At 39.2% G+C, this 15318-nt stretch overlaps 1 long non-coding RNA gene across 4 annotated transcripts in view, besides 3 other annotated features; it reads left to right on the forward strand.

The window, feature by feature from the left end:
* Positions 1–15318, forward strand: part of LINC00623 (long intergenic non-protein coding RNA 623) — a 43574-nt gene that overhangs the window by 12065 nt on the left and 16191 nt on the right. The gene's annotated exons all lie outside the window — the stretch shown is intronic.
* Positions 13119–13700: an enhancer, noted in NCBI's record as "OCT4-NANOG hESC enhancer chr1:144496218-144496799 (GRCh37/hg19 assembly coordinates)". NCBI's record gives its function as "activates a minimal SCP1, AML or CMV promoter by ChIP-STARR-seq in primed H9 embryonic stem cells {active_cell/tissue: H9 hESC(primed)}" and the evidence as "EXISTENCE:reporter gene assay evidence [ECO:0000049][PMID:30033119]".
* Positions 13770–14398: an enhancer, noted in NCBI's record as "H3K4me1 hESC enhancer chr1:149601377-149602004 (GRCh37/hg19 assembly coordinates)". NCBI's record gives its function as "activates a minimal SCP1, AML or CMV promoter by ChIP-STARR-seq in primed H9 embryonic stem cells {active_cell/tissue: H9 hESC(primed)}" and the evidence as "EXISTENCE:reporter gene assay evidence [ECO:0000049][PMID:30033119]".
* Positions 14399–15014: an enhancer, noted in NCBI's record as "H3K27ac-H3K4me1 hESC enhancer chr1:149602005-149602632 (GRCh37/hg19 assembly coordinates)". NCBI's record gives its function as "activates a minimal SCP1, AML or CMV promoter by ChIP-STARR-seq in primed H9 embryonic stem cells {active_cell/tissue: H9 hESC(primed)}" and the evidence as "EXISTENCE:reporter gene assay evidence [ECO:0000049][PMID:30033119]".

The raw sequence follows: 15318 nt of genomic DNA on the forward strand, positions 1-15318 counted from the left end.
ATAAGTACATGAGAGTAAATCACATTTCTATATGAATAGAAATATCCACTTTATTCATGTATAGATTATAAAACTATACTAAACAAAAAGTAATCATTTACTATTACAAAAATTATTAAGAACCATTACAAAAATTCTCTGCCTACTAATTTTCAATCACCATAGAAATACAGTATTTAATAATGCTGCTGCTGTACTTACATAAAACATATTAAGAATAGATGTTATATTTCTGTGTTTGAATATTGAGCTTAAACATAAAACATGTTTGAAATGTGTTTGTGTGTGTCTCTCACACACACACATAACATGTACATACCTGAAACTCATACTGCAATTGCAACACATCTTAAGTTTTTCCTTTTAAACATACCAAGATAACATTCTAAAATGAAGAATAATATCTATGTCTCTCTTCCTACTACATACTATCTCTCTATTTATATGCAATTGCTATAAACATATCTTCATATTTGATATATATAGGTACATATATATGGATAGATAAATATAGATATATGAGAGAGAAATGGAGATTAGAGATCTATGTTTGCCATAAATCATACTTGTTAACATAAACCATCTGATTAAACTGATATTTTGTGGCCCAAGACCTGAGACATGCAAAACTATTCTTAGCAGATAGAATTTTCTAAAAGCTGAGAGCTCATTCTCCAGGAGCTGGCCAAGGACCAGTCCTAAAGGCAGACCTTTCTTGGAAATGTACAGAGTCTGGGCAAACAAGACCTGCTGAGTTAACCCTTTCCTATACATATGCAGACGGTATTCAGCACAGGGCCTGACAGAAGGCAGTGTTTGTTATTATTATTCATAGCATTAGCCCATTTCTTGTTGTGAGCAACATGAACAAGGAGACTAAGGGGAAAAAATGCCCTTTTTTAGGGTGACCACCCTAACTGATTTGAAAGTCTACAATTTTTTCAGTTTAAAATGGTATTTATTTGTAACATGTACTATTATTGAATAACAATTTCTAATAAAAAAACTACGCTAGTTTTCTGCCTATGGAGAAGCCACCTTTTTATTCTTTTACTTTCTTAATAAGCTTGCTTTCACTTAAAAAAAAATCTACCCTACATATACACAAAAGTTAAAAAGCAGCAATAGTGTACATTGGTCAGTATAAATGCATGCAGTTTTCTTTTCTTCAGTGTACAAAGTCCAAGTCTAAACCTTTATAATTTTTAGAGTCTAGCGATTCTCCAGACTCCATACTTTTCGTTGTTATCAGATGCCAGCGTTAATTGCCTTTCCTTTCTTCTGTTTTGGGTTCCTGATCTTCATCTGTGTCTTTAAAACAGATTATTTTCTTTAGATTTGAAAGGTTGGGTTTTTGTCTTCATTTCTTATTTGTTTAGCCTTGTATTTCCCTTTCTTTAATTGAATTGTGTTATTGAAAATTAAATAATTTATCTGTGAAGTCAAAAATCCTGTTTCAGGGTGGGCTCTAGAGCCTTCCTCTTGGGCCATATCCTTAGAAAGCCTGTGTGTATTCTGATACATTTGGCAATTTCTACTGGCTTTTCTTGTATTGTCTGACCCCTTTTTATTTCAGCGGTGCATCCTGGTCTTACCCAACAGGCAAGTGGTGACTCCAGTGCAGGTGACGCAGAGGTGACACTAGAATGAAGTGAAATATTCTGTTGAGGGCTAAGTTCATGTTTTTGCTGACAGTGGTGGATAAATGTCATGGCTTCCCCCTGCATAGTGCTTAGGACATTTCTTTTGATATGTGTTTTAGAGAAAACATAAAACTTGTAATCAGGAAAATGCAATAACGGAAGAAATGCTTACTTGAGTAACTAATGTGAGTTAGGCAAAGAAGATACAAATACTTCCCATTTCCTACTTCTAAATTACAGTCAAATTGTCCTAAGCAAATCTCTCATTGTCTCCATGTAAAAGATATAGAGAAGCCATTAGAAAAAGGTGGCTGGAACAACTTTATACATACAGCCTGAATGAACTGCCTCATCATTTATATGTTTGAGGAAAGTGTCTGTTTGATAATTTAAATTAAGTTTAAACTGTCATAAACGGAGAGCTGTACAGATTCTGTGGGAGAGGATACTGGGGTACCAGATACTCATTACTAGGCTCTCCACTCTGCCTTCTTCAATACTCTGGATCGGTGCCCTTTATTCATTTTTTTCACAACTTCCTCCCCTTTGCTCACATTCTTTACAAGCTTCCAGGATTTTTTAATTTTATTTTATTTCTTTCCACAATGACTCTCATGGCTGTTGCTATAGTTGCTATAAAAGGCAAGGTGGGGAACAGACAGGTGAATGAGCACAGAGGTCATTTGTAAACCGTTTGTGGTTAGTGCTCCTCTGTTTACTGTCTGTCTGTCTCTCTCAGTGTCTCTGGGTATGTGTCTGTTTACAACATAAAATATATGCACACAAATCTCCAATTTTTCTAGAGTAACTATTAACACAGTTAAAATCTGGAAGAACTCTATCTTTTAAAGGAAATACCAATTAGCAAATAAAAGAGTTGATTCCCCCCAACTCTCATTCCCCAGAGCTTGCTTAAGTGTATGGTTTGCACACATTCCCTAAATAAAAACATTGCTGGCTCATAACTATGCTTCACTTTCATAAGCCTTCCAAATGTTAGTAACTTAGCCTTCTCCTTTTGAAGGGTTAGTCTGTAAGTGATACTGGAAGCCATGTGGTAAGAAAGAGGACAGAAGTATAAAATCAGACTCAGAAAGTAAAATCTGGCATATTTGGCATAGATCCATTCAGCTTCGTATACTTTGTTAGGACCCGAGGGCATGCCTGATTTTCATAAAATCGATGCACTGTTATTAAAACAAACAGGTGAAAATCACTTTTGTTAAACTACTTGACAAGGCATCTGACTACCTTAAGTGTGTTATAAATTTTGCAAGTGGTTAAAATTTTATGCTTATGAATTCAAAAGATAGACTTTAGTTAAATTAAAAACTAATTTATGTAGATATTTTCCCTAATAATATAGCACAAATGGGTTTTATTTCCAACTGAAAAGAGTATTTATTACCATGGATATAACTAGAAGAATCATATAAATATATGTAATTCCATTAGAAAATATTTTTCTTAAAATTTGAAATGACAAGAACTTAATGAATCTTAAATATCTCTTGTTTTATTTTGAAAAATTGTTTTCATAAGATACAATTGAGCAATTGAGATTTGTTCTCCCAGTATCTGAAGATTTTTTTGGTCTTGTTTTGTTTTTTGGGTTTTTGGCCCTAAAATTAGGTGAATTCAGCTTTGGGTCTATTTCATCCATTCTGGAAGGTTCCCTGGGTCACTGATCTGAGGCATTCTTGATGTGGTTAGGACTTCCCAGCATTATTTTTTTTAGATCCTGTTTATTTAAAATGAAAAGGATTAGCATGAGGGATGGTAACATTCCTTTTTGATATCTGTAGCAGCAAGTTTTCTTATGATTCATTATTCTTCTTCTTACAGCTTTAAATCATCTAGGAACTTCATATAAAATTTAATTCCAGTTTCAACTAGTTGTGGAGCATTTGATCCAAAATAAAATGAAAGTCCTCTCTGAAGCTGTAGAGGAGGCTCAAGAATCAGAACAACCTGAAGTTCTTTAAGCTGTCAGTTGAAGGACTAGGTAAAAAAACAAATATCATTTAGTGTGATCATTAATGCACATGAGTCATTATTCCATGTGGTTGCTGTCGACTGGTCAGGGGCACTTCAAGCCCTAATCTGTACTTTGTCCTGTCTCTCTACACCCCGTTCTACTTTTTCAGCTTGTTGCCTGTAATATGTGAATGGAAATAAAATAATCAAGCTTGTTAGAATTGTGTTCATAATGACACAAAAGACCTGAGAGAATGTAAGAACATATAGAACATCCAAAATAAGACATATTTTTGGTTGGTTTAAAACCTTTTTGTTTGTTTCATTTTCTTCTGTGCTTAATGTATAGTTACTATTATTTCATATCCTTTGACTTACAGGTTTGACTGCAATGCAGTGTGAATATCGCACATGGGACCATTTGTCATACTGTCAGATGGCAATACATAGATGGATAGAATTTTGCTGTTTGATCAAAGCTGTGCCATCGGAAACTTGTTTTCCCAAGTATGGGTACATTCTCCTCTTTTCCTGAGTGGAGAAACCTAGATCTGAGCAAAAAGCATGAATCAATACACCTTGGGAGGCAGGGTGTGAAATATTTGATGCCATTTCCTTTGCTTGTAAATTGTTCATTTCATTTGAATATAAATATAAAAGGACTTCTACCAAGAACATGAAACTAACATTTTGCCAAGCTAAATTTTAATGAATTTATTTGGACGTTTTTATAATCACTTAATATTTTCAGTTCATGTGCTAATATTAACTCTACTTACTGGAGAGAAAGAAATGGTATTCAATATGATAACTGCCTTGTTACTGCAGAAATGTAGAAGTTTGGCATTTTAAGTATCAAATATTTTAAGTCAAAAAATTACCAGTGTCCCACAGCACAGAGAGAGAATATATGTTTGCTTGTGTCCCTTTAATCTTTCCCCTGTAAAATTAAGCCTAGGGGCCTTACACTATTTTAAATTTTCAAAATTAGGTCATGTAAATGTTGTGTCAGATTTCCAATTCATAAGTAGTATACTTATGAATACTGAATAGTGAACATAGGGTACATTTATATCCTGCTGATTGCTTAGCTGTGGACCAGAGGTAAACAGAGAATGAATGGTATTTTCACAGGTTAGTAAACTGTTTTTCTATGATCTCTTATATACAAGTGTGATTAACATTTTTTCCCCCTTCCTGAACTAATATAGGAACATATGGTCTAATAAGTGTGAGTTCATTTGGGGAGGGCAGGATAGAATGCTTGAAATTAGGACTGACCCAAAAAATGCCTTGGTCTCAGTATTTGTGGATTACGAGGAGGAAGGGCTGAAAAGGAACCTTAAAAGCATTAGAATGGTAGAGTACAGATTAGCAGCAACACTCAGGGCTCCATCATGAAGAGAGTGAGATGAGTTCCCATGGTTAATGCAGCAGGGGCTCTAATTGAAAGCCCTCTACCTAGGAAATGATTTAAATCCTTTTATCCTAGCTGGATTGTGAACATTTTATTTACTTTGAGGAAGTTGTTTAACACTTTTTGTAGATTGCATCAATATTTAGAGTAATGTAAATACATTTTCCCTTTGGCTATTTTACAAGGACATTGAGGATTAATTAAATTTAAAAGAAAGTAGTGCAGTTAACTCCCAGGAGACAGAGGGAGATGTTTATCATTTTTCTCATCATTCATTCCTTATTCATTCATTTTACAAATGTTTGTTGAATAGTAATTATAATGAAGATACTATACCAGCTTCCTGAATTGGGAATACAAAGATGAAGGATGAGAGTGACTTCTGCCTTCATTATGTTATGTGTTCATATTTTCTTTTTAAAATTCTCATTATAATATGAGTAATTGTGCAGGGATTTAATATTGCTGGTCTCAGCAATAGTTGATCTTTGATTAACATCTCACTGACACATATTTTCACTGTGTATATTTATTTTTCCTTTCTAAATTTAGAACTACTCTTTATCTTCTACTGTAAGAGATATACAACATACTTTTGTTTTTTTCTATGTTGTAATCTGCAGTTTTTTTAACCAAGAATAAACACAAGTTCTAATAGCAAACAGAAATAAACTCCCTACACATTACCTTCTCCATTAAAATATGTTTTATGCCACATGCAGAATTTTAATATTATATAGTTATTTGTGAAAGTATAACTAAATAGAAATTTTAAGAAAGAATGCCTCTAATATTCATATCTTAGCACTAAAGAAGCATATATTATTCTGCAGATTGAATTAAAATGTTAGTTACCAAGATATGAACTTAGACATTTTCAGTAAGCATTTATAGGCTATTCTAGTGGAAAACTGTACACAATTTCCCATGAGGCTGGTGAAGGTTTCTTAGCTTAAGCGACTTTTTAGCTGGTTCTTGGATTTTATTAAATAATATTTGAATGAACAGTTTTGACTAACAGCCTGAAAATATTAATCTTTCCTCTCAGTCTGAGCAAGCGAAAGTAGATAAATTCATATTGTATGTCTGATTCTCTTTGGGTTTGAAAAGAAATAAAGACTCTACTTCTAAATTAGCATAGAAAAAAGGAGAATTTCTCTTGATTTATTTCTCAGTTTGGGTTTGTGCTTTTGAAAAAGGAAAATAATGATCCTGAAATCAGTAGGCTTTGTCTTTGCCAAAAAATGTGGACATGTTGATCTTAGGGGGGCTGATTATATAAAACAATAGAAATGTAGTCTTAGATGAAAATCTGTAAAGATGTAAGAATGCTGAACTAACATGAAAATCAGGGGCTGAGAAAATGCTGGATTGAGAATAATGTGATAATGAAGGTTTTATATATATTCATATATTCTCTTCAACATACATAATGTCATAAAAAGGATAAAACGCCTAAGTCTAGTCTTGACAGAGCACCAGCTTAAATCACATGAGCCTATCAGAGAACTTATGACAATATTTAGGGCTAAACTGATGTTACTGGTGAACCAGTATCTGGAATGATTTCCATAACTCACTTAACTTGCACATTTATAATGTGGACTTTAAAAAATAATTATCAGGATGGCTACTCTGAAGCCAGGAGCTTAGGAAGTGTCACAGATGGTATATATTTGTATTCCTGCCTCATGTCCCTTTCCCTGAAGTGGCGTGTGGAGTATGAGGGATTACGGTGTATTTGTAGGTGGTGTCCCTGAAAGGCTATCAGGGGACTTCTGGTTCTGCTTCAGTTCTGTTTTGTGAAGACAGTCAAGTGATTTAAGGTCTCTTGCTTCAGCCATCCCACTTAGAAAGCAGTTGCTTTATAGTCCTTTGGGTATATACCCAGTAATGGGATGGCTGGCTCAAATGGTATTTCTAGTTCTAGATCCCTGAGGAATCGCCACACTGACTTCCACAATGGTTGAACTAGTTTACAGTCCCACCAACAGTGTAAAAGTGTTCCTATTTCTCCACATCCTCTCCAGAACCTGTTGTTTCCTGACTTTTTAATGATTGCCATTCCAACCGGTGTGAGATGGTATCTCATTGTGGTTATGATTTGCATTTCTCTGATGGCCAGTGATGATGAGCATTTTTTCATGTGTTTTTTGGCTGCATAAATGTCTTCTTTTGCGAAGTATATACCCAAAGGACTATAAATCATGCTGCTATAAAGACACATGCACACGTATGTTTATTGCGGCACTATTCACAATAGCAAAGACTTGGAACCAACCCAAATGTCCAACAATGATAGACTGGATTAAGAAAATGTGGCACATATACCCCATGGAATACTATGCAGCCATAAAAAATGATGAGTTCATGTCCTTTGTAGGGACATGGATGAAATTGGAAATCATCATTCTCAGTAAACTATCGCAAGAACAAAAAACCAAACACCACATATTCTCACTCATAGGTGGGAATTGAACAATGAGATCACATGGACACAGGAAGGGGAACATCACACTCTGAGGACTGTTGTGGGTTGGGGGGAGGAGGGAGGGATAGCATTGGGAGATATACCTAATGCTAGATGACGAGTTAGTGGGTGCAACGCACCAGCATGGCACATGTATACATATGTAACTAACCTGCACAATGTGCACATGTACCCTAAAACTTAAAGTATAATAATAAAAGAAAAAAAAGAAAAAAAAAAAGAAAGCAATTGCTTGAGACTACTTCACTGTAAGCTCCTTTTTTTTTTTTAAATAAATGCAGATTTTATGATATTCCTGATCATTCTCTTTGCACTTAGTTTTAAAATGTTATTTGCAGTTGATTAGAGAGTGGTGATAAGTAAGCCAGGATTTCTGGAATGCCAGGGCACTGTCCCCATGCATGGAAAACTGCACAAGAGCTTGTGTGTCTTGATATTCCCACATGTCAGGATGCCTTCATTTGCTAATGACAGAATACCCAACTCAGACTGGATTAAATAAAAGGGGATTTTCTTGCTTATTTAACTCTAGATTCAGTGGTAAATGGGTTTCTGGGTTGATTGGTTTGGGGCCTAACAATGTCTTCGAGGACTTGGTTTCTTTTCAACAGTCAGCTTTTGCCTTCCTGTGAGCTAGCATTGTTTCCCATGGGATTGCAAGGCAGCTGCATACAACTCCTGCAGTTCTTCCTTTTCCATATCCAGAGAGGGGACGTCCTTTCAGACGCTGATTATTTTAGGTGTAAATTCCATGTCCCATCCCAAAACAAACAAACAAACAAAAAAACATCTAGGGCATGTCTTATTTGAGGCGCTTAACAAATGACTGGATCATCTCCCTTGTATATAACCCAGAAAACACTGTGAAGTAGAGCAAAATTGGAAAGCCCAAGTCAAAGACCATTTGCAAATTTCAAGTAGATTCCAGTCTGTTGCTCAAATCACAAAACATAAAACGGAGGGGTCTCCCTTGGAGACCATAAAGTCTGTGACATGGTGGCCAGTTGGGTCACTGGAAAACATGGCAAAATATTGAAAATGAGGGATTAGGTGAGAGTGTAGCAACTGAACACTAAATGCTTGATCCAGGTGCCATTCCCTGGATACTGACAGGGAGACACATTGTCCAGGTAATACTGGAAAAATACTTTCTATAGTGTAAACCACAAATAAAATTCCAAGCCCCTCAACTATTTGAATGCACCCCTCCTCTCAGCCAGGGTCATTCCAAAGTTAACCTGAAAAACTGGTTCAGACCATGATGGGAAGTAGGGGTCAGATAGGCCTCATTATACCCTCCTTCCTTTGGAATTCAGGCACAACTGACCAGCACATCCGACCAGGCACAACTGGCATTACAACAGAGATCTTAAGACTTTTTGTAGCAATAAGACACCAAATTCCAGCCTGACTCTAGTGTAGCATTACATGACAGATAGCAGGCCCTGAAAGAAATAAAAATATTTTACCCTAAAATATATTTGTTATCATATTTTGAAATGTCCCTACAAAGTTGTCTCTTGTGGGGAAAGTCTACATGCTACAGGGAATCCCTTTCCAGGTCTTTTCCCTAATCTAGGCACCTTTTTAAGTCTGATAAGAAACATTTACAATCAATTCTCTCTGAAGCCTGCTACCTGGAGGCTTCATCTGCATAATAAGAACAACCCCTTAACACAGAGACTGCCTTCTATGGATTCCAGGTCTTTAGATAAACTCTTTCAACCAATTGCCAAAGTATCAGAAAATGATGGCTGGTAACTATTTAATTATGCACATATATTAGTAGAATTTGGGGGGTGGGCACGGTGGCTCATGCCTGTAATCCCAGCACTCCTTTAGGAGGCTGACAGATTGCCTGAGTCCAAGAGTTTGAGACCAGCCTGGGAAACATGGTGAAACCCCATTTCTACCAAAAAAAAAAAAAAAAAAAAAAAAATTAGCCAGGCATGGTGGTGAGCACCTGTGGCCCAGCTACTCAGGAGGCTGAGGTGGGAGGATTACTTGAGCCTGGGAGGTGAAGGTTGCAGTGACCCAAGCTTGCAACACTGCACTTCAGCCTGGATGACAGAGGAATGGGCCTTCACTAGACACTGAACCTGCTGGCAACTTGATCTTAGACTGACCATCCTCCATAACTGTGAGCAATAAATTTTTGTTGTTTATAAGTTACTCACTCTGTGGTATTTTGTTATAGCAGCACAACTGGATTAGGACATTAACCTGACCTTAAGAAATCATCTCAAATCAGTCTTGGCTTTGATGAGAAACAAAGGGCACACTCGAATGTGTGATTTAAAGAGAGGTTTTTTTCTTTTTTGAGATGGAGTCTCGCTCTGTCCCCCAGGCTGGAGTGCAGTGGCATGATCTCGGCTCACTGCAAGCTCCGACTCCTGGGTTCACGCCATTCTCCTGCCTCAGCCTCTGGAGTAGCTGGGACTACAGGCACCCGCCACCACACCTGGCTAATTTTTTGTATTTTTAGTAGAGACGGGGTTTCACTGTGTTGACCAGGATGGTCTCGATCTCTTGACCTCATGATCTGCCCGCCTCGGCCTCCCAAAGTGCTGGGATTGCAGGCATGAGCCACTGCACCCAGCCTACAGAGAGTTTTATGAAGAGAATATTTCTAAATATATGGACAGGATCAAAATAACCCAACAAAGGACTGAGAGGCGCTCAGAATCTGGAATCAGCAGAGAAGTTGTATTGCCTCTAGGACTTAATTGTTGTATAAGTCTGTTCAGGTTGCCATAACAAAATACCATATACCAAGTGGCTTAAACTATAGAAATGTGTTTCTCACACTTCTAGAAGTTGGGAAGTCCAAGATAAAGGTGCTAGCAAAGCGGATTTCTTTCTAAGATCTCTTCCTACGGCCTGTAAGTGGCTGTAGTTTCACTGTGTGCCCATGTGACCATTTCTTTGTGCACCATGGGGAAGGCGGATGAGCAAGCTTTCTAGTGTCTCTTCTTATAATGGCATTAATCTCAGCATGAGGACCCCACTCTCATAACCTCTTTTAAACCTGATTACCTCTCAAAGGCCCCAGCTGCATAAACCATCACACTGGGGGTTAGGGCTTCAACATTTAAGTGTGGGAGTTGGTGTTCACAATTCAGTCAATTGGAGTGGAAATTGAAATGGGAAAGGAAAGCTATAGTTACTAGAGAGAGCTATTGTCTTGGGGAGGATCACTGGACAGGACTATGGTCTTTGGAGAAATAAGCGAGTTACAACTGACAAAGATTCTTTCTGTGAAAATAAGTAATTTAAAATGTAAGTTGTTGGAATTCCAAATTACTGTGAGCCTTAAAAAAATGTGAGTATGGGCCAGGCACCATGGCTCACACCTGTAATCCCAGTACTTTGGGAGGCCCAAGGCAGGCAGATCACCTGAGATCAGGAGTTCGAGACCAGCCTGACTAACATGGAAAAAGCCCATCCCTACTAAAAATACAAAATTAACCAGGTGTGGTGGCGCATGCCTGTAATCCCAGCTACTTGGGAGGCTGAGGCAGGAGAATCACTTGAACCTGGGAGGCAGAGGTTGCAGTGAGCTGAGATTGCACCATTGCACTCCAGCCTGGGCAACAAGAGTAAAACTCTGTCTCAAAAAAAAAAAAAAGAAGAAAATGTGAGTATGGAGCCTAAGTCACATGAGAGGCACCTGTAAACTAGGCAGTTGTAACCTTTGTTTCTCTGATTATAGATTGGCCTTCTTCCTTACATACATTGTTGGTTTTTTTTTTGTTTGTTTGTTTGTTTTTTTTTGAGATGGAGTCTTGCTCTGTGGGCCAGGCTGGAGTGCAGTGGCATGATCTCGGCTCACTGCAACCTTGGCCTCCTGGGTTCATGCCATTCTCCTGCCTCAGCCTCCCGAGTAGCTGGGACTATAGGCGCACACCATCACGCCCAGGTAATTTTTTGTATTTTAGTAGAGATGGGGTTTCACCATGTTAGCCAGGATGGTCTCCATCTCCTGACCTCATGATCCACCTGCCTCAGCCTCCCAAAGTGCTGGGATTACAGGCATGAGCCACTGCACCCAGCCACACGCATTGTTTTCTAACATGTTATACAAATTATTGAAGGGTGCCAGGGAAGATTGCTTCCCTCTGCACTGCTGACTTTCATTATAGATTAACTTCCTTCTTACCTTGCTCTCATAAAGACTTCATGGCTATTGCATTGTCTTAAGATGCAATGTTAAATACACTCCTTTAAATTGGAAAGGAAATGTGAGCCAGCTATAAAGAAAGAAAACAAGTAGTATGGAAAGAGAAAAAGGTTGGGCACAGTGGGGCTCATGCCTGTAATCCCAGCACTTTGGGAGGCTGAGGTGGGTGGATCACTTGAGGTCAGGAGTTTGAGACCAGCCTGGTTCACATGGTGAAATCCCATCTCTAGTAAAAATACAAAAAATTACCTGGGCATGGTGGTGGGCACCTGTAATCCCAGATATTCAGGAGGCTGAGACAGGAGAATCACTTGAAACCAAGAGGCAGAGGTTGCAGTGAGCCAAGATCATGCCATTGCACTCCAGCCTTAGCAACAGAGTGAGACTCCATCTCAGAACAACAACAATAACAAAAAAAAAAAAAAAAAATTCTGCAACTAATTAATTTGTTGTAACTCTTAAAGCAGCCTTATATAGAAAATGTTGTGATCCTATTAATTTTTTTTCTTTCTATGTAAGCAAGAACTTCACTTTTGACTTTGCAGCACTGACCCCATTTCTCTGGAGTCTGTGTGCCCTGATTGGCTATTCCCAGATTTTTGTTTGAATAAACTCTTTTTTAATTTTTACCATTAGTTCCCACAAGCAGAATGAATAAACATTTTAACGCTGAATTCTGAACCTTTCATTTATTTCAGGTTGACATCTCCTTGGCCAAACTAATCAGGCTCTTCTGAGTCCTCTTCTCACTAGGCCTCAACTATTGAGCTTCTGTGTTCCTCTCTGCATTGTTCAATCTCAGCAAGAATCCTTCTCAGTCAATTTAGCCAGAATTCCCCATCTTCAATAGCTGATCACTCATAATATCTAATAGGGCTCCTCATCCTTCACCATCTGCTAGGTGATGTCTGATCACCCTGCGTTCAGCAAGAATGCTATATGTTGGCTTAGCCATGTGGGAAGCCCAAAATATGCCACCCCAAAATACACTCCTTTGGTATAATTTGAGATGGCTATTTAGAGGGGCTGCAGATGTTACTGAGGGGTCTCACCCCAAAAAGGGACTCTTTCCTGTTTATTATTGCAAAGCCAATGTATGAAACCAAGAGTGAGCGTCAAGCAGTGCAGGCTCTATTCAATGGCATTGGAGAAGTAGGAGCATAGCATGGAATTGGAGAAGTAGTATAGCTTGCAAATCACCTTCTCAGCTACTGAGAACCAGGAAGTTACAAATATAGAGGATCTTTAATGAAGGGAATGAGCAAGGTGAGGAATATTCATGCTTTTCTTAGTAAGGGATGGAGATTTTCCTAGAATCAAGGAGTCACCTCATTTCTGTCCTTTCTTGGTCTCTTCCGTTCATTGTCACAGTGATTGTCAACTGTCATGCACTGATGGGAGTGCTATTTAGCATGGAAATTGGATTATAATAAAGCTAGATGTTTTTCAGAGGTTGCGTAAGCTGCCATCATGGATTTCACCAGCTTCAGCTGGTTTAGTCCCAAGAAGAAACTTCTGACCACAGACATCCTGTTTCTTAAAAATAAGCAGAGTTAAAGGTGAGTAAGAATTCAGCCATGTCACATAGGCACTGCAATGGCCAACAACATCTGGGTAGGGGTCCAGGTAAGTCATGTAGGCAGTGCAATAGGCAACACAGTCACAGAAATACCTATGAAAAGCTGTCCTTTTGTCAGGGAGATTAGCATGTGTAGAGGAAGTAAACATCAACTGCAAATGGCTTTCTCTGAGACCTTCTTATCTGCTTTATCTGGATCCAGGTAAGATTAACTCACAGGAAAAGGAAACAAAAGATCTCATGCTTTTAAAGGTCTGACAGGAAACTTTTTTTTTTTGAAACGGGGTCTTACTCTGACACCCAGGCTGGAGTGTGCAGTGGTGCAATCTTGGCTCACTGCAACCTCTGCCTCCCAGGTTCAAGCCATTCTCATGCCTCAGCCTCCCGAGCAGCTGGGATTACAGGTGCCCACCACCACACCAGGTTAATTAATTAATTTATTACTTATTTATTTATTTATTTATTTTAGACAGAGTCTTGCTCTTTCGCCCAGGCTGGAGTGCAGTGGTGCCATCTCAGCTCACTGCAAACTCTGCCTCCCAGGTTCATGCCATTCTCCTGCCTCAGCCTCCCTAGTAGCTGGGACTACAGGTGCCCGCCACCACGCCTGGCTAATTTTTTTGTATTTTTAGTAGAGACGGGGTTTCACTGTGTTAGCCAGGATGGTCTTGATCTCTTGACCTCATGATCCACCTGCCTTGGCCTCCCAAAGTGCTGGGATTACAGGCATGAGCCACCGAGCCCGGCCTGTATTTTTAGTAGAGATGGGGTTTGCCATGTTGGCCAGGCTGGTCTTGAACTCCTGACCTCAAATAATCTGCCCACCTCAGCCTCCCAAAGTGCTGGGATTACAGGCATGAGCCACCACATCTGGTGGAGGGCTGCTTCTTGAGAGACTTCATCTGCATCACATCTGCATCACAACACAGCCTTTGCTCACCATGTCTTTCCTCCCCTCAACCTCCCATAACCTGTGGCCACCACCCCCTAAGAACTCCAAGCCTAGTTAGTCCTTTATGTGCTGCATATAAACTTCAACCATACGGCCTTCTTTGAGGCTTTTTTTTTTTTTTTGAGACAGAGTTTTGCTTTTGTTGCCCAGGCTGGAGTGCAATGGCGTGATCTCAGCTCACCGCAACCTCTGCCTGCCAGGTTCAAGTGATTCTCCTGCCTCAGTCTTCGGAGTAGCTGGGATTACAGGCATGTGCCACCATACCTGGTTAATTGTGTATTTTTAGTAGAGACGGGGTTTCTCCATGTTGGTCAGGCTGGTCTCGAACTCCTAACCTCAGGTGATCAGGATCCACCCGCTTTGGCCTCCCAAAGTGCTGGGATTACAGGCGTGACCCACTGTGCCTGGCCTGAGGCTCATATTTTTATGTGACTCTGTATTAGTCAGGGTTCTCTAGAGAGACAGAATTAATAGGATAGATATACAAAGGAGTTTATTAAGTATTACACTTACTTTTTTTTCTTACTTTTTGTGGAAAACAGGGTCTTGCTATATTGCCCAGGCAGGTCTCCAACTCCTGGGCTCAAGCTATCCTCCCGCCTCTGCATCTCTGAGAGCTGGGATTACAGGTGTGAACCATCACACCCAGCCAGGAGTTTATTAAGTATTAACTTACACAATCACAATGTCCCGCAATAGGCTGCCTGCAAGCTTAAGGAGCAGGAAAGTCAGTTCAAGTCTCAAAACTGAAGAACTTGGAGTCTGATGTTCCAGGGCAGGAAGCATCCAGCACAGGAGAAAGATGTAGGCTGGCAGGATAGGCCAGTCTTGCCTTTTCATGTTTTTCTGCCTGCTTTATATTCATGGGCAGTGGATTATATTGTGCCCACCAGATTTAGGGTGGGTCTGCTTTCCCCAGCCCATTGACTCAAATGTTAATCTCCTTTGGCAACACCCTCACAGATACGCCCAGGATCAATACTCTCATCCTTCAATCCAATCAAATTTGTGAGAAACAAATTCACCCATCTAAACCCAAACAATGAACTCAGAGACCCAGAGAACAGCGAAAGTGAGAC

The sequence above is a fragment of the Homo sapiens genome, chromosome 1 (assembly GCF_000001405.40).
Source record: "Homo sapiens chromosome 1, GRCh38.p14 Primary Assembly".
NCBI classification, from domain to species: Eukaryota; Metazoa; Chordata; class Mammalia; order Primates; family Hominidae; genus Homo; species Homo sapiens.